This window comes from Homo sapiens, chromosome X, assembly GCF_000001405.40.
Source record: "Homo sapiens chromosome X, GRCh38.p14 Primary Assembly".
In the NCBI taxonomy this organism is placed as follows: Eukaryota; Metazoa; Chordata; class Mammalia; order Primates; family Hominidae; genus Homo; species Homo sapiens.
This window is the reverse complement of record NC_000023.11, coordinates 38,558,229-38,578,467: the sequence shown is the minus strand read 5'-3', so window position 1 is coordinate 38,578,467 and position 20,239 is coordinate 38,558,229. Positions and strand designations below refer to the sequence as shown.

The following is a 20,239-nucleotide window of genomic DNA, read 5'->3' as shown; positions in this document are numbered from 1 at the left end:
CTGAAGGATATAAACTAAAACAACCTGCAGCCTCCCTTCCCAAATACAGCAGCAGCTGTTAAGGAGATTAATAAGTAACTTGCTCTTACCCTGTAGGAGAACCTTTATCCCTTAGACAAGTCTCTACTGGAATCGTAGGCATCCATTAATGCTGCCGGCCAAATGCTTTGCTGTACCTATTACACCTATTATCAGCAAGCAACTCAGCATTAACTGCATTTAGAACTCTGGGCTTACTGTGCAGTTGAAAAGAATACCATTTACTATCTTATGCCTCTTAAATGAACATATGGCCTTTCACAACTTTGTATCTCCACCCCAACCCCCTCCTTTAATTCCAATCCTGCCTTTCTAGCCACTTCAAACATCTACCTGATCACCCATTTTGGTTAGCCAAGGGGGTTTAAGAGAGGAGGAAATGAGGTGGCTAGGAATCATACCCACTCAGCCAGGCCTCATCCCAACTATGAAAAGCCACTCTTCAGGCCAGAAGGGAAAAGCATGGGCTACAGTAGAGCTGTCCAGGGGCCTACACAGTCTAGTGACCAGGAGTTCACTGGTCCAACTCCAGCTGTTCACCGCTCACATGTCTCTGCTACTTCTCTGGGTCACTTTCTCCTTCTGCCCCTACACCAACCACGTCTCTTTTTTTTTTTTATACTTTAAGTTTTAGGGTACATGTGCACAACGTGCAGGTTTGTTACATATGTATACATGTGCCATGTTAGTGTGCTGCACCCATTAACTCATCATTTAGCATTAGGTATATCTCCTAATGCTATCCCTCCCCCCTCCCCCCACCCCACAACAGGCCCCGGTGTGTGATGTTCCCCTTCCTATGTCCATTGTTCTCATTGTTCAATTCCCACCTATGAGTGAGAGCATGCGGTGTTTGGTTTTTTGTCCTTGCGATAGTTTGCTGAGAATGATGGTTTCCAGCTTCATCCATGTCCCTACAAAGGACATGAATATCTTGAGTTTGAATGCCTAAAAAAGAACTTCTCCATTCACATCTTACAAGGCTGATTATCTCAAGTTCCACTGAACACCCAACAAACAAATATTTAAAGGTCAGATCTGCTCTCCAGGTCAATCAACTGTGACCATGGCAGATGGTGGGGAGGGTGAGGAAGTATAGAGATGGTCAAAAATAAATAATTTCCTAGGGCCACCTCTATCAATGAAAAATATAGGCAAACAAGCTTCTGAGAACCAGCCTATCTTTTAAATCTACCTTTGTCTCAAACTAAACACATGCAAAATGGAACACATCATATTAGTCTCAAACCCGCTTTTTCTAAGGTCTGCATTTTCATGAGAGTATCACCATCATCCATGCTCTTTAAGCACAGAATACTGGGGTTCTCTCTCACAAATATTCTTGCCACATCATGAAGTAGCTGTCCCCTGTCCTCCATTCTTCATTCCCATTGTCACCCTATATTAGACCTTCATTCTTACCTAGTTAACCTGGTTTCACCACTTCTTGCTTTTCCTATTTCAACCCAACCAACTTACTACTTCCAGATAAGGCCTGCAAAGTGTAGCTCCCAAAGTTACTGCTCCCTGCTCAAAAGTATGGACTAGTCTTCACCTACTGGCCAAAGCAGGCCCAAAACCCTAACTCATGCAATCAACCCACAATAAGGCTTATGTCTACTTACCTAGACTTGCTGCATGCCTCACTTTTTATTACAGCTAAACTTATTCCTGTCCTAAACACAGAAACCATTCTGCTGATAGCCTTCATTATCCTCTCCAAGAACCACTTGTCAAAATCCTGTCATTCTCCAAGTGAACTCTGTCCACGTGACCTTTCCAAATTCCCCAGCCCCACAAGCTCTCTCTCTTACAGTTCATTGCTGTCCAAGAGGCACATATCTAACTTTAAATTAGCATATTACAAAGCTTCAATCAAAAATCACATTCAAAGTAAAAAGAAACTGGTGAAATTAATCTTACTAGTATATTTAAACCACTATATCCAAAATATTACCATTTCAACATGCAATTAATGTAAAAAATGAGATATTTTACAGTGTTCATACTAACTCTTTAAAGTCTGGTATTTACACATAGAGACATCCCAAGTTTGGACTATCCACATTTGAAGTGCTCAGGCGGTTAATTTATTAGACAGTGCGTTACCAGCTCTTTCAAGATAAAAATCATGAGCCTTTCTTCATTCCCACTCCAATAGGCCCATATTAAACTTTAGATTTTAATTCTTGAGGGTAAGGATCGGACTTTCCTTCTAGTTGTATCCCCTAGAACAGGAATCAGCAAATTGTAGCCCATGGGTCAAATCTGGCTGCAAATAAAGTTTTATTGGACTATAGCCTTACTCATTCATTTACATATTGTCTATGCTGCTTTCACACTACAATGGCAAAGGTGACTAGTTGCAACAGAGACTATATGGCCCACAATATAAATAAAATAAAATATTTGCTATCTGGCCCTTTACAGAAAACGTTTGCCTACCACTTCTCTAGAGCAATAATTCCCAAAGTGTGGTTAGTGGACAAACCAGTGTCTGGTCAGCAAACTGTTGTCAGTCCACATTGAGAAGAAGTTTGTACCAGAAAGTAAACAGACTTTTTTTTAAACAAAGCTTTCTGAATGAAGGAAGCAGTATATTAATTAATAGTCTGACAAGCTTTTTATCCCACTACAACTGTTTGACTTTATTGTACCTTTTGTCACATAATTTTTAAAAATTTTATAACCACATTTATTTTTTATTTAATTGCTTCCAAATTTCCAGCTTACATAAGGCAGTCTCTCTCCTAATTTGTACATATGGTATGTACATTTTCTCATAGGATTTTATTTTTATATTTGAGCATTTAAACTAATTGGAAGTTTTCATATCATCTAAGTGAGGGCTCCAATTTTATTTTCTCACATATAGATATCCCGTAGTATCAGGATCGTTTAAATCTAGTTTCTCTCACTGAAATGAATGCTCCTTTTCATTTATTAAATCATATTCACTAGAATTTATTTCTGGATTCTTTATTGTTCCACCGACCTATGTATTTCTAAGCAAACATCATATTGAATTGATTTTAGAGTTGTATTAATTTTGTATTGCTCCATAACAATATTACCACAAATGTAGAAGCTCAAAACAAAACACATTTATTATCTCATAGTTTCTGTGGGTCAAAAATCTGGGCACAGCTTAGCTGAGTCTTCTGTTTCAGGGCCTTGCAAAGCTTCGATCAAAGCATCAGACAGGGCTGTAGTCTCATCTGAGGTACAAATGGGGAAGAATCTGCCTCCCAGATCATTTGACTATTGGCAGCATTCAGTTGCTTGCTGGTTACTGAGGGCCTTAGTTTCTTGGTAGCTGTCAGCCAGAGATTGCCCTGAGTTCCTTGTCATGTGGCCCTCTCTACAGGGCAGTTCATAACATAAAAGTTTGATTCTTCAAAGCCAGAAAGGAACAGAGTCTTTCAGCAAGATAGACTTTACAATCTTATGTAATAAAATCATGCACACATAGTCATATGCATGTGATCACTTCATTATATTCTATTAATTAGACGACAGTCTCAGGTCTCACCCACACCCAAGCAGAGGGGATTAAACAAGGGCATGAATATCAGGAGGTGAGATTATGGGGGACATCTTATAGTCTACCTGCCACAATAGTATATTCTGATAATAAGGCATATACTTCCTTTCCCTCCCGAAAATATCTCTTGATTTCTCAGGTATTTTTTCTTCTACGTAAACAATACAGTTTTATCAAGTACCATCTCCTCCCCCTCCCCCAAATCCTGTCAGTATTCTATTGGGAAATACATTAAAAACATTTTTAGAAAACTGATATTTTTATGATACTAAATCTCCCCACCCAAGAACATCTGGTATCATTTAATCTGTTCAGATCTCATTTTATGACCCAAGATAGGATTTTATTGTTCTTCATATAAGAGCCTTGCCTTTCTTATTAACTTTATTCTGAAGTAATTATGATTTCTGTTGCTGCTGTGAATGAAATGCCTTCCTCTCTTTCCTAAGGCTTATGCTAAAATAATAAAAAGAAATTAATTATTGTATATTTCTCTTACATCCATCCATCTTATCAAATTCTCTTAGTAGTTTTTTCCTAACATCTCTTGGGTTATTTAGTTTACAACAACTACATCTGTAAAAAGATAATTTTATCTCTTTCTCCAATGTTAATTTTTTCTTACTGCATTTGCTAGATAAACCAAGTCATAAATAATAATGGTAAACAAGAATCTCTGTCCAGTTTCTGATCGGCTCAAATAATTTTAGTATTTTACTACTTGTTTAAACAAATACTTACTGTTGGTTTTAACATTTGTTGAATGAAAATCATCTTTGTTAATAAAGATAACGGTAGATACTCCACCCTTAAGGAGGTAGAACATAACTCTTCACATAAGTGTGAACTGTGCATTGTGATTTTCTTTGAAAGAGTACCGTATGAGAAGCGAGGAAAGAGCAACTTTACGGTGGAGAAACCTGACAAATTATCTCACCCCGGTGATCAAAGTCAATATCAACAGTGATAAATAATGTTGGTGGTATGTATCCTTAATATGATATGATTGAAATAGCACTTTACCTCTGTGGTCTTCTTCCCCAGAGCACATAACTACATTGTAATCATGAAAAAAACATCAGGCAAATCCAAATTGAGGGACATTCTACAAAATGCATCAGCAGTAGTCCTCAAAACTATTAACAGTCAAAAACAAGAAAAGTCTGAGAAATTGTCACAGCCAAGGGGAGCCTAAGGAGACATGACTACTAAATGTAATATGGGGTAGCCTGTAATAGAAAAAGGATATTAGGTAAAAACTAATGAAATAGGAATGAAGTATGGACTTCTGATAATAAAAATTTATCAATACTGATTAACTATAACAAATGTATCATATTAATGTAAGCTGTTAGTAATAGGGAAAAATGGTGGTATGATATATGGGAACTCTATGCACTATCTCTATAATTTTTCTGTAAACTTAAAGCTGTTCCAAAAAGAAAAGCTTATTTTAAAAAGAATAATGGAAGTCACCAATTCCTCATTTGACTGTAAGTGTCAGACTTATATTTATTCATCCTAAATAGGAATACCTTTATCCCAATGACAGGACCAAACTCAGTGAGTCCTATTTTTGGTTCCTGTTCAAACCACTCTGTTAACTCAGCTCTCTTTGGTAGCAAACTATAAAACCCTGAAAGTGAATCATTCTTAATTTCCAGGATAGGGCATATTCTGACCAATTTATTCATTTAACAAGTATTGATACAGTACCTCCCATGTACAAGAAACTAGGAAAGAAACACTTTACACCCTAAGGAATAATGTTTCCAAAATATATATGTATCACACTTTAGTTTATAATGCACTTGAATGTTATTTGACCCTCAACACTTGACTGAGGTGGGTAATCATAGATATCCTCAATTCTAAAGAGGAAACTGGGGCTCAGAGAGAATAAGTGATTTGCCTAAGGTCACACAGCAAAGGTACTAGCCGAGACTTCACATTAAGTCTAATTTTAAATCCTCTGCAATAGAATGCAATGGTTAAAAGAATATCAAGTGAGTGATACAGTTCAAAATATGAAACAGAAATCTGGAGGAGCTAGAAGTCCGCAAAAGCTTCACCAGAAACAGAACTTTAACTCAAATAGAGATGGGGATGTAGAAGGGATGTTTAGCAACATTTTCCACAGTCTTATCAAGCTTTGGGTTCCTTTTCAACCCCAAAGGGGTCTACCTTTGGGAAGTCCTAGTCTAATCCCTGGAAATCATAAACAATCAAGTATTTATGGAGTGATTAGAACAATGAACTGATCCAGGAGTTCTACACATCATCATGATGATGTTTGAAGAATGAATGGGAATTGAGGTGCAGAAGCAACTTCATTTCACTAAGAAGAATAGCAGTCTGAGGTAAGAATAAAAGTCTCTGTATTACTGGTGAGAAAAAGATTGATTATTCAATAGCCATGGTAACTAGTAACCACCAGCACCAACTTTTAAACCTGTTTGATTGAGGGCAATTCACCTCAGACTAATCATCAATGACAACTCAACTTGCTTCAGGAACACACTTCTGGAAGCCAATTACAATGAGCTTCACACGATTCAAGGTCAGCAAATCAGCAGCAGACACACTGCAGTGAACATGCTTCTCAATCAACAACAGTCTCACTCAAATAGCCATGCTTCTAAGGTCAAGTTCAACCACTCATGCCTCTGTAACCAAAACACCACTATGTTTCCCAAAAAGATCAGTAATCTGCTTCACTCACAGACTATGCTTAACACAGCTGTCTCTTACTTTGGTAAGTAATGAATTCTGGGTTTTGTTTTACATGTTGGATTATGGTCTCTCTTTGACAGAGGTTTGTCTTTGACAAACCAAGACTTTTCCCTAACTTCTCAGAATAACTGTGAAAAAAAATAGATTCCCCCTAAGGAATGGAAACTACTCCAAACTCCAAGAGTTCACTTGAAGACCCTTGCCAAAGACCAATTAAGTGGGTAAGAAAAATGCTACATTGACTACATCTTGTTTTCTGGAATACTCTCCTCAATTCAGCTTTATGGTACCACAGATCATATCATAGGAAAGCATTCATGAGGTAAGAACTCATTTATATCAAATGGCATCACAGCCCCATAGAGCTACATCCCAGGAATCAGAATCACCTTGGGATTTTTTTTTTTTAACTCACACACCCAGGTTTCTCTTCATATCAATTAAAACTTAAACTCTATGAGATAGGGCTGAGAATCTGTGTTTTTAAATGTCCTTGGTGATTCTGATACACATTGCTTTAGTCAGGAATGATTAGCATGGTCTCCTAAGAGTGCAAGGCCATTTTGGTTTACTGAAAGACACTGCAGGCCTGGTTCCAGACTCTCAGGCAACGAAGACCAAATTAATATTGCCAGTACTAGGTTAGATACTCCGTAGCTACCTGCAGATCCAGGAGGCTCAAGTGAACCAAGCCTACTATTATCTACTGAGTTCTCCCTGGATCAATGTTTCTCAATCCTAATTGCACAGCTGAATCACCTGGGAGCATATTTTAGCATATCAATTCTGGCACTCTGTCCAGACCAGTTGAATCAGAATCTCTTAGGATGGGGTCTAAGTATCTTCTTTAGGGCCCCTTAGGCAATTCTATGGGCAAACAGGGTGAGAATCACTGATCTAGTACCTATGTCTGTTCACCAGTACCTGTGTCTGACTCATCTCATCATCCTCTAGTATAAGGCACCTGGAATTTCTCCTAGAAACAGATGATGATGGGAAAATCCCACTATATCTTGCAGAAAGCACCAAAGAAAATCTTCCAGAGTCAAAATGTGATGTTTAAACTATTTTAAATGCTTTACACTAAAAGCCCAGACTTCACCACTATGCAATATATATATGTAACAAAACTGCACTTGTATTCCCTAAATCTATAAAATAATAAATGTTTCAAAAGGCAATAAACAAATAAATAAAATGCTTACCTGTTTAACTGATCAAATAACCAAAAGGAAAAACAAAACAAAGAAAACCCTCTCCTTTTTCCTCTACATCCTTTTCTTGATGAATAGTGGGGTTCTGCAGTAAGATGAAAAAAATGTTCAGCCAAGAATGAAAATCATTCTGTCATGGCAAGGGGAATAACAGCCAAAATAAGAAATTTAAGAGCAGCATTCCAAAAATCTGCTTGCAATGAGGAGGTAACTCAGATTGGAAGCTGCTGTAATGGAACTAAAGGAGAAAAATACATAAGAATATATTTTTAAAGTGTGTTTCAAATGGGTTTAGCAGTGCATTAGTCATCTATGTCAAGAGTTTAACATGTTTAAACAAAGAAACACAGTCACAATGACTTTCAATTTTCAGCACCTTCTGAGGTACTTACTTAAAGCAGTATATAAAGAACAATCACTGAATAAGTAATGCAACTCACAATAAGGTCAAATCAAGAACTCTAGTTGTGATTAGAATGGAGAAGAGTATTTCATTCTATTTAGACCAAAATTCAGCTAATTTCTAAGCAACGACTAAGTGAAAAAGACTTAATGTTCCCCAAATGTTATAAAAGGTAGTTCACACATCCTAACTGTATATTGCGTATAGTAAATTAAGTTGATAAAATAAGAAAAAACTCCAGATTATAATGTACAAGTCCCATAATAACCATGAAGGGTTATCACTGTAGTAAAAGAAAAACAGCCAAGCAATAATCAGTTTAACATCAAGGTCCTCTCCCCAACACACACACCACACTATAAACACTAAATTAATCCAGCAAGGTCCGAATTAGGTCAGAAGACACATGGGACTTCATCTGGTGGGAAGAAATAAGAGGGGCAGAAAAAGCAGCAGCAACCTTCAGAGCTTCATTTCCATTTGTCCAGTCGCTGATGACCAGACGACCTTACAGAGGATGTGTCTTAGTAAGTCTGTTCCAACTTAGAACACTTCCCTTGAAATCCAAAAGCTTTTTAAAAATTGAAAACTGGGTACCAATATTTATTAGAATAGCCCGACTATTGCTGTTTTAGATGCTCTATTCAATCACTCACAATCAACTGGGTATTTAATTAGTACCATCTGATGTAGAGATAAAGATATAAAGGACTTCCAGTTAAAGATGACGGATTGAACACATCCATTTACCCTGGCTATCTCCCAAAACTCCACTGAAATGACACTAAAAGAATGTTTTTAACCTACAATAACAAAGAGAGGAGACAACCACAATGATCTCTTCAAAGCTGAGAAAAAGCAAAATCTTATGGCAGCTGTGAGAGAAGCACAAAATAAAATATTTGCACCCAAACATCCCCAAAAGACTCAGGGGTTAGCAGCTCCATGCACACCTGGAAGTAGGGAGGAAAGGGGAGCTAAAATAAGTAGGTTCCAGTAAGAGTTTTTCGAAAAACAATTAGATTCCCCACCCCCACCCCCGCCACCAACTTCCTGTCTCTGGCCTCTACTCATTCTACTATAGGTTCAGATATTTATTCTTTGGAGGGTGAAAGAGATGGTCCCTGAACTGGGGAATATAAGCACAGTGGACATGGATTCTACACTGGAAACAGGAGCTTAAGCAAAGGTTTATATACTGTATATAGAGACTTCTATATTCTCACCTTCTTTACTCAGAGAGCAATTAGAAGATTCTTCTGTAGGATATCTGATGAGACCAAAAGAAGAGACCTAAAGATATTGACCTTGGTCCTAAAACTCAACTGCCCAGCCAAATCACCCAAATTACAATTGATAAACACGTACTTCAGGCTAAGAGCTTCCAATCAGCTTCGTAGTGCCCCCTCTTAAACACGTACAGAAAAAAGAGCAAAACATGACCAGAAATTTGAGGTAAGCCTGTAATATGCCAGAAAACAGAACAGTCTGAAGGAAACTATGCAGGAAGAAGCAAACTCAAAAAAATTACTAATATTTTCAGAGAGATATTAAAACTATATTACACTCATGAAACAAAAACAGGATGCTAGAAAAAAAGAACATTCAGACCTCAAAAAGAAGCTTCTAGAAATTAACATATGAAACAAATGAAAAATGCAATAGCAGCAAGATAAAGTGGAAGTGATCTCCCAGAAATAGAACAAGAAGAAAAAGAGGTAGAAAATAGAAGGGGAGAAAATTAGAGGATTAGTCTAGGAGGTCCAACATCCAAATAGGACAGAAAAAAATGAAGGTAAAGAAAACAAAAAACAAAAGAAAATTTCCCCAAACTCAAGGACCAGATTGAAAGGTATACAGAAAATTTCCAGATTGAAAGGGTACCCAGGAAATAGTTTAAAATAGACATATACCAGAGCATATTGTTGTGAAATTTCAGAGCAAGCAAGAGATCATAAGAACTTTCAGAGAAGAAAAGCAGGATTCAAGAAGAATCAGAATAACATCTGATTTCTCAACACCAACAACAAGAACAAGACTTGGAATAGGGAGAAACAGAAAAATTCTGAGGATAAATGATTTCCAAACTACAATTCTACACTAAGCCAAATGATCAAATTAAGTGCAAGAGAAAAATAAGATTTTCATACCTGTAAGAGCTCAAAAAATTAACCCCCAATACATCATTTTTTCCAGAAAATTATTAAACTTGCTCTACCAAAATGAAAAAAAAAAAAACACCAAGGAAGAGAAAGACATGACATCTCAAAAACCGAGGATCCAACGTAAAAGGAGACAGGATTCACCAGGATGATGGTGAAGGGAGACTATATTGATGTCCACTGTTTCAAAGGCCCAGAAAATACTAGTCCAGATTGAAGATCAGAAAGCTTTGGGAGAAATGCCTCTGAGAACAAGAATCTGATATGACACATGAAGTGTTTGAACAGACTGAGTGAAGAAACAGATCTTGGGGAAAGTACAGGGATAAATTAGGAGTGAGCACGCAACTAAAAAGCAAAGGACCAAACAAGGCAATTCTTAACTGTAGAGAAAACAAAAAGCTATGCAAGTAATCATAATATACACACTACATGGCTCAGCTGTGACTAGGTTTACCTAGTCATTAACATAATGAAATCACTGACGACCACTCTAACCAAAATATGACAATGATAAAATGATATATTAGGGTCTACTACAATATAGGGAAGATACAAGTATGGGAGAAAAGGGCAAGAGAGCTAAATCTTCATCTTCCATAGTGGGAAGACAGTACATAACATCTAAAACTGAAAAGTTGAGAAATAGAATACATGTGTTATTTTAAAATGCAGGTAAAATGCCAAAAGCAGCAGCTAGTAAACGTTGGTACACATTCTATTGACTACTCAATACCTGACATGTAATAGACATTCAGTGAATGACTGAATTGTATTGATGTGCAAAAGAATAACTATAAACTAAAGTATGTGCCTGATATGGTTTGGCTGTGTCCCCACTCAAATCTCATTTTGAATTGTAGCTCCCATAATTCCCACTTGTTGTGGGAGGGACCCAGTGGGAGATAATTGAATCATGAAGGTAGGTTTTTCCCATGCTGTTCTCCTGATAGTGAATAAGTCTCACAAGATCTGATGGTTTTATAAATGGGAGTTCCTCTGCACAAGCTTTCCTGCCTACCACCATGTAAGATGTAACTTTGCTGCTCATTCGCCTTCAGCCATGATTTTGGGGCCTCCCCAGCCATGTGGAACTGTGAGTCAATTAAACCCCTTTCCTTTATAAATTACAGTCTCATGTATGTCTTTATTAGCAGCTTAAGAACAGACTAATACAGTGCCCAAATTCAAACACTCTTTAAAATGTTAGGAGTTGCTCTTTAAGACTTTTCCCTCTATTTATATCCCAAGTACCTAAACTTTCTGGACAAAAAAAAAAATTGTTTTAAATTATTTTTCCAGAAAAGATTAGTGATGTTTCTCAAATGAAAAACAAATCGCTGATATTTTATCATAGAAGAATTTGATAGCACTATTGATAAGCTAATTACCTCCTTAGATAATCAAGAAATCAGGCCCAATATACACTTGAATTAAGCAAGGGGAACTTCTCTTCACACATGGTGGATTTAAATCTTAGCTTAGAACTCAGATGAGTATTTAAAATACATTAAAAATGTATAAATAAAACAAAAATTCACCTGGTAAGCAAAATATTTATTACATTTCTTTGCTTGATCTTGAAACAGTTACATTGGTTGTGAAGAAAGGATATTTTGTTATATATATATAGGGCAAGATCTTTTTTATTCATGCTTAAAAAATTCTAATTAAAAATTTAAATAACCAAAATGTCTGACAAACTAACTGATCACAAAAATATAATGATTGAACTATCATTAGGATAAGCAAGTCCTTGTGAAATCTGCTATTCCATCTTTTCACATATTTATTGGAGGAGCACATTTAAATCACTACAGGTAGACTAGAAATAACATTGTTTTAAAAAAACTTTCCCATTGAGGTGAGTTGAAATAAATAACTGAGCCCAAGAGTAGTCAATAAAATTTCATTTATTCATTAATTCATTCATTCATTAAGGAAATAAGTATTTAGTGAGTAAACCTACTATAAGCCTGACATTGTTTGCTAGTCTTTAAAGCACAGGATAACTTACTCCTAGGTGTGTTTTTCCCTCCTCTTCTATAGACCTGAAAATAAAACATACAAATCAGGAGAAATGAAGGATCAGTTTACACAGCATTCAGGTGATATTATTTAACCAAAAGACAAATCATCCCATCCATTCAAACACAATTATATAAAGAGGTACCTACCTTTTGTCTTCAAATAATTATATAGTACACAATAGAGAATGTTTTTCTTCTCACGTGATTGTGTTGCGCATGCTCTGCTACGGTGGTTCCAAACACCAATAAATATACAGTTTTGCATAACGCTCCATTTTTTCTTCACAGGACTTACTGCTATGTAAGTCCAGTAGTGCAGAGGTTGGTTACACTGTTGACATTTTGAGCAAGGCAATTCTTTGTTGTGAGGGGTTGTCTCATGTACTGTAGGATGTTTAGCAGCATCTGTGGCCTCTACCCACGAAAGGCCAGTATCATCCTCCCCTCCAGCTATGGCCAAAAATGTCTCCAGACATTGCCAAATATGGGAGGGGGGCAAAACTGCCCCCTTTTGAGAACCACCACTTTAGAGAAACACCTCAGAGAGAGAGTGTGATTATAGACAGGAGAGAAAGCCAGATAAAACAATAATCTCTCTTTCAAAAGTGTAGACTTCTGGTTTAACATATGCTCAAGTATGTCAACCTTTATGATGCTACTGCTCTACCACCATTTTAAGTTCAAATGCCTTCTAGTTCTAAATCTAAATTAAGGTAATGAAAGGGAAAAATTCCTATTAAAACAACTCACGAACACAAAGGAAATAATTCTGTCTAATCTTTCCTCCACCTTCCACTTTAAAGAACACCAAGGTCGGCTGGGTGTGGTGGCTCACGCCTGTAATCCCAGCACTTTGGGAGGCTGAGGCGGGCAGATCACGAGGTCAAGGGATCGAGACCATCCTGGCCCACATGGTGAAACCCCGTCTCTACTAAAAATACAAAAATTAGCCGGGCGTGGTGGCACACACCTGTAGTCCCAGCTACTCGGCAGGCTGAGGCAGGAGAATCACTTGAATCCAGGAGGCGGAGGTTGCAGTGAGCTGAGGTCACACCACTGCACTCCAGCCTGGGCAACACAGCGAGACTCTGCCTCGAACAAACAAACAAACAAACAAACAAGACCAGTAAGGTCATCTTTTTGTAAACTACCTAGCATAATCCCAGAAGTTTTGACAAATATTTGAGTACCTACTATGTGCCAGACATAGTTCTAAGTGCTGAAGAAAGATTTACCAACTGCATTTACTGAACTGAGAGATAATTCTTATAAACATTTAACAGGTAAATATTTGTGACCTTGGTTTTGGCAAAGGATTCTCAAATATGACACCAAAAGCATAAACAAAAAAAAAGAAAAAATAGGTAAGCTGGACTTCATAAAAATAAACTTTTGTACTTCAAAGGACACCATCTAAAGATAACCCACAAAATAGGAGAAAACACTTGTAAATCATGTATCTGATGAGGGACTTGTACTCAGAATATATAAAGGGCTCTTACTACTTAATATAAAAAAACCCCACATCTTAAGATGGTCAAAAGATATGAATAAATATTTCTTCAAGAAAGATACACAAATGACCAACAAGCACATAAAAAAGACACTCAGCATCATTACACATCAGGGAAATTCATACCAGAACCACAGTGAGATACCACCTTCACACCTACTAAGGCTATAATAAAAAAGTCAGGCAATAACAAATGTTGGCAAGGATGTGGAGAAATTGGAATCCTCATGGTCAAAGGGAAGGAGTGCTTTGCTTTGTGAAACAGGCTGGCAGTTCTTCAAACAATTAAACTTAGAATTACCATGTGACCTAGCAATTCAACTCCCAGGTACATACCCAATAGAAATGAAGACATGTTCACACAAAAATCTGTACATGAATGTTTATAGCACCATTATCCATGATAGCTAAATGACCCAATCAACTCAAATGTCCCCCAACAGACAAATGGATAAACAAAATGTGCTATAATCATTCAATGGAATATTATTCAACCATAAAAAGGAATGAAGTACTGATATACACTACAACATGGATGAACCTTGAAGTAATTATGCTGAGTGAAAAAAACAGTCACAAAAGGGCAACTATTGTATGATTACATTTATATGAAATGCCTGCAATATGGAAATCTCTAGAGACAGAAAGTAGTGGTTGCTTAGGGCTGGCAGGGGGTGGGCATGAGGGTGGGAAGTTGAAATTGGGGGGTAAACGGGATAACAGCTAAAGAAACAGGTTTCTTGTGAAATGATGCAATGTTCTAAAATTGACTGGGGTGATGGTTGCACATATCTATGAATATACTAAATATACAGAAATATATACCACTTATATACTAAAATATGTGCTACTTATACTAAAACTCACTGAATCGTATACTTTAAATAGGTGGCTTTTATGGCATATGAATCATGCCTCAATAAGGCTACTTAAAAATAACGTCTTGTTTAAAATATCCTCACACATCCGAAGAGATCTTATTCTTTTGGTTGTAAGTATGAAATGATTACAACAACCAAAGCCAGAACTGGCTTTGGTATTTAAACTATTGAAAATGTTCCAGGTTAACATTTAAGACTATGAAAATCTTGAAAGTAGAAAAAATTAAAATGAAGGCATCAAGGAACTTCCGGAGGACATAAAATGCAGTGATTGTTTAAGATGTATTGGGGGCATTAAGTAATTAGATTCATAGGGGTGGAATGTAAGCAAGGAGAGTTAAAGTGCTCATATGAAAAGCCTCAGCCTGGAAGACCCCCTTCTTTACCAGCTTGCAGTGATTCTGAAAGAACAATATTTCTTCATGTGCACTGTTAACCTTATTTTTAAGGAAGATAAAAATACCTCCCCCCTCCCAATATGATTCACTCCAGTAACAAATAGGAAGTCAAGTAAATGATAAAGGGCCAAACAAAAAGAGATTTAAGGAAACACATAAAAAGCTAAACCAGTTCCCAGGAATGGCTACTGGGAAGTTTCAGCAATCAGCATGTGTTACTGCTTTTTACAGGCAGAGCATAAGATGATATGATCTGTGCATAGCTCACAATTCCACTACTGAGACATTTCAACCTGTGTCGTTGTCAGTCCAAATAAAGTCCGTTTCTGTGTTTGCCTTGTGCAATATGCCAGTTAATCTATCCTAGCTCATTGCAGAGCTCCTGGTATGTGTGGTCTGGGGAGTCCATACCTTCCCTGACTTGAAGAACCACCAACGCCAGCGATAAGGAAATGTCCGGGTGCATTAGGAATATTTTTGATCCTCAATAAATCTCTGCTTCTTCCTTGACCATTGCAAACAGTCCGGTTTGCCATCTAGCTGATTCTCGGTACCTCATACAGCACTGTGCTCCAGTTTCAAAGCAAAAATAGGGCTAATATATGGTGGTGGGTGAGGGGCGGGGGTGAGGGGTGCAAGAAGAAAACAAGCAAAGGTTGAACTGGCTTTTCCTACAGAGCCTCAGATTTCAAAATGACTGCCGTAGAAGCTAAAATGACCCAGATTTGGGGGACAAGGGGGGAAGAGGGTCGATATTCATTCCCCTGCGGGGTAGCTGTAGCTTGATTATGGGCGTAAGGAACTAGGGAAGACGGGGTCACCGACATGAAAAGAGAAATAACAGGGAATGGTCTTTAAGTACCACGCACCTCTCTCAGTGAATCACTGCAGTGTCAGCCCTGCACTGATTCCATGATTTGCCAAACAGGATGAGGTAAGGCACAAGCCTGGAGCCCCCTCCTCCTCCTCCTCCTCCCCCTCCTCCTCCTCCCCCCTCCCCCGCGCAGAAAGGCGCATCCCTCCGCGAGGTGCACCACGCAGCCCCCCGCGGCCCTGGCTGAGGGGTGACGTCACCCTTCTGCATTGAGCTTCAAGGACCGGCGGCAGCACTGGATAGATGGGGAGTAGAGTTGGGGCGCTATCTCTATCACCAAGTGGAGGGGACCCTCTGCCAGGGCGCTGCGGATTGTGCTCATGCAGTGACAGAACCACCAGATAGGGAGTGTAAGGATGCAGGGAGGTGGGAAAGGAATCCAAAGACTCATCTCTTGGGTCACCAAGAAACCTCAAAGATGCCCCCGGCTTATGTAAGACCCTCTCCCTTTCGTGCGCCTCCACGCGGTGACAACGCCTGCTCCCCATCGTGCGCTTGGGAGACTTCGGTCGCCCTTGCCCAGCCAGGCAGGCACGGTGCTTCTGGTGCCTCCCTCCCGCAGCCCCGTGGGGTCAGGAATAACTGGGAATCTGAGATTAAACCCCACGCTCCCGTGTCCTCTCCTAGCCCGCCACAGGTTAGCTCCAAGAGGCGCCGCGAACCGGCTGGTAGGGGAAGGGAGAGAAAGGTGTACAGCGAGGAAAACAGACGAATAAACCCGCAACTTTCCCCAGGAGCTGACCCTATCCCGGGAGATTATAAAAGAAACTAATGCATTAACATTTTTTTTTTGGAAGGTCGACAACCTGCAGTCACCGACACTCCGCAGCCCCTTGCAGCCTGCGCGGAGCGAGGTCTAGGGTTCCAGCAGCCCCGACCCGCACCCTGCCATCCTGCAGCCCCGACCCAGCACCCCGCGCCTGTCTCCTTAAAGAGGGGTCCCAGATTTGATTTTTGGTTTGGGTTTTCCTCCCCACTTCTTTTCTCAGAGCATCATCATACGGACCGATGGACAGCGACTCGGCCACCGGCCCGGCGTGGGCACTTACCCAGAAGACGAAGGAGTAGATGATGAGGAGGGTTTTGAGACAGGTTATCACAGGTTTGGTCTCCATTCTCCTCGATGCCATACTACAGAGCTCCGGCGGCGGCGGCGGCGGCGGCAGGCGGCGGGCGGGCGCGCGGGAGGGGGAAGAGGCGGGGCGGGGCGGGGCGGCGCGGGGCGGGGGCGCGTGCCGCGAGAGGCCTCGTGAGCGCGCAGGCGAGGCCGTGCGCGTGCGTGAGCGCGCACCGCGCGGGGCTCCTACTGAAAAAGCCGGGCCGGGCAGTGACTGCGCATGCGGGAAACGCCGCCCGCGTTCGCAATACTGCGCAGGCTTAGACCCCCAGCGGAGGAGGGAGGCGAGGCCAGGCGAGGCCAGGCGAGGCGACACGGGGCGCGGCAGGACAGTGGGGAGGGAATGGGAGAATTTAGAGGCCGGGTCAGAGGTCACGGGAACCTCTCCCAGTCCGCCCTGGCATTTAGATTTCTGCTTTGTACACAGTTGGGCGTTACATTTGCAGGTATGCCTGCACCTGGCTATGGGAAGTTTATGGGTGCCCCGCTGCCCATCAGTCACGTTTCTGCATTTTGACACCCCCCAGGGCCTTCTCACATGGAAATGGCCCCGTAGTCATGTCCTTGGCAACCAGCAGGCCTTGTTTGTGCCAGGAACAGACAGGTGGCCAGAGATACAGCTGGAGGGATGGGCAGGAACGCCGGAGCTCAGACAGACCCCAAATCCTCGCCACCACAGGTATCTGCAGGCTCCTCCATTTTTCAGATTTGTCTTACATTTTGAAATAATAAAACGAAATGACAAGAAAGGTCTGTATGAGGCGTCATTCTTGCTGCGCATACAATGTTTAACAGAATACAGAAAAATGTTTAATATGCCTGAGAATCATTTGCAGCGCGCTAACAAGTACAGTCCACCTCCCTCCTGTAAAGGAAAGCTGCATTGAGGTCAAAAAATAATGTTCACAACCAATTTGGAGTTCCTCAAAAAGTTGAACAGAGTTTGCATATGATCTAGCAACTCCATTCCTGGGTATTTACCCAAGAGAAATGAAAATATATGCCCACACAAAACCATATACATGAATGTTTATAGCGGCATTATTCACAATAGCCAAAAATTGGAAACAACTCAAATATCCGTCAGCTGATGAGTGGATGACCAAAATTCGGTGCCTCCATACAACGGAAAATTATTCGGCCACAAAAAAGAATGAAGTACTACTGGTAAATGCTGCAACGTGGATGAACCTTGAAAATATGCTAAGCGAAAGACGCCAGACACAAAAGACCACATATTGAATGATTCATGTATAGGAAATATCCAAAATAGACAAATCCATAGAGACAAAAGAGATTAGTGGTTGCAGCGAGTGGGAGGCAGGAATGAGGTGACTTTTAATGGGTAAGCGGCTTCTTTTTAGAGTAATGAGAATGTTCTAGAATTACATAGTGATGATGGTTGCACAATACTGTGAATTACTAAAAACCACTGAGTTGTATACTTTAAGAGGATGACTTTTATGATATATTAATTATATCACAATAAAAACGTACATTCCACCCAGATATGGTTTGTAGAGGAACACACAGATTCAGTGGGAGATTTAGCTTGATTGCTAAGAGACTAGTCAAAAACAGCAACACTATCACAGGTTAACTCAATCGTGGATGATGATGTTAAGGATACATATTTGTGAAAGAGTGAAAAACAGAGTCAATAAGGCTTGGGAAAAGCCTGCTAAGGTCAGTTGTTACAGGAGTAATTATTACCTCTATCCAGTTATATGTGGTCTCAGGTCAATAAGGTAACTGTATGAACAGGACAAAAATATGAGGAAGAGGAGAACCTGTTTAAGGAAATTGTCAACTATAACAAAAAGGTATGTGGGCATACAAGGGTGGAATATAGGTGCAGGTGAAAGAAGGGACAGGTTGAGCAAGGTGTCTGTTATAAAGGGGTCTTGGCACACTGATTCTCGATGCTGGGTGCTCATTTGCATCACCTGGTGTTTTAAAACAATTATGAATGCCTGTGCCCAATCCCAGCTATTTGGAGTCATTTGGTGTGGGGTGAAAGCTCCGCGTTTTAGAAGCTCTTCAGGTGGTCTGAATATTAAGCAAGAGTTGAGGGGCATTGCCCCATACTGCAATGAACTTAAACCCAACTTCAGAGAGGAGCTTTCTCTTTCATTCTTACAGACTCCAGGCTGATTCCAACTGCTGCAGCAGCAGGGAAAGGATACTGAAGACTTCAAGCCCAGTGGGTATCCTTAGCATCAAAAGATCTTGGCCATGTATAATTATTTTGTAAAGAGGTCAGAAATCTCAATGTTCAGCCCAACAGTGACACTGCTAAGCATCATAGATAATTTGGTGAGTTAATATATGACATTCACAGAAGACACCCATCAGTTTAAGCTAACTCACCGTCTCACAGTTTGGAGCATTTTTGGAATATCTCTTAGGTCCAGATTCTTGAAAACTTGGACTGTTCTAGCAAAAATAAACCATTTAAATATAAAGATAAATATGAATATTCAGTAATGTAATTAGTAGATAAATTAACATAGCTTGTAGCTAGATCCTTGCTCTCCAATTGTGGCCCATGACATATATATAGGGTGACAAGCCATCCCAGTTTGCCCAGGACTGAGGGGTTTCCCTGCATTCAGGATTTTCATTGCTAAAACCAGGAAGGCCTTGCGCAAACCAGAACATATTAGTCACACTAACCCTGAGCTGGCAGCATTGACATCCACTGGAAGAGCTGTTTGAACATGCAGAACCTCAAGCCCCACTCCAAGCCCATGTTAACAAGATCTCCAGGGGAGTCAGATGCACAGTAATGTCTGTCATGTATTATGGATTGAATTGTGTCCTCCCAAAAGATATATTGAAGTCCAGGCTAGGTGCGGCTGAAGTCCTAACCCCAGTACCTCAGAATGTGATCTTATTTGGAAATAGGGTTGTTGCAAATATAATTAAGACAAGGTCATACTGGAGTAGTGGGGGCCCATAATCCAAGCACTTTTAAGGGCTCATATCCTTAAAAGAAGAGACACAGGGAGAGGGCCATAGGAAAACACAAAGACACACAGGGAGAAGGCCATTGTGACAACAGAAGTAGAGATCAGAGTGATGCAGCTACAAGCCAAAGACTGCCAAGGATTGATGGTCACCTCCAGAAGCTAGGAGGAGGCAAGGAAGGATTCTACCCAGAGTCTCAGAGAGAGGATGGCCCTGCTGACACTTTGATGTCAGACTCCTAGCCTCTAGAACTGTGAGATAATACATTTCTGTTTTTTTTAAAGCCACCCAGCTTGTGGTACTTTGTTACAGCAGCTGTAGGAAACTATCACGTGTCTAAGATTCACTGATCTATAATGCA

General features: G+C 40.0%; 1 protein-coding gene across 1 annotated transcript in view, besides 1 other annotated feature; it reads right to left on the bottom strand.

Annotated features, from left to right (window-relative positions):
* TSPAN7 (tetraspanin 7) overlaps positions 1-16,926 on the bottom strand; it is a 127,377-nt gene extending 110,451 nt beyond the window's left edge. Inside the window, exon 1 of the mRNA NM_004615.4 lies at positions 16,841-16,926. Coding sequence (NP_004606.2) covers positions 16,841-16,921 — 81 coding nt within the window. The 5' untranslated portion in view covers positions 16,922-16,926. The remainder of the gene's footprint in view (positions 1-16,840) is intronic.
* Positions 16,325-16,826: an enhancer, noted in NCBI's record as "H3K4me1 hESC enhancer chrX:38420895-38421396 (GRCh37/hg19 assembly coordinates)". NCBI's record gives its function as "activates a minimal SCP1, AML or CMV promoter by ChIP-STARR-seq in primed H9 embryonic stem cells {active_cell/tissue: H9 hESC(primed)}" and the evidence as "EXISTENCE:reporter gene assay evidence [ECO:0000049][PMID:30033119]".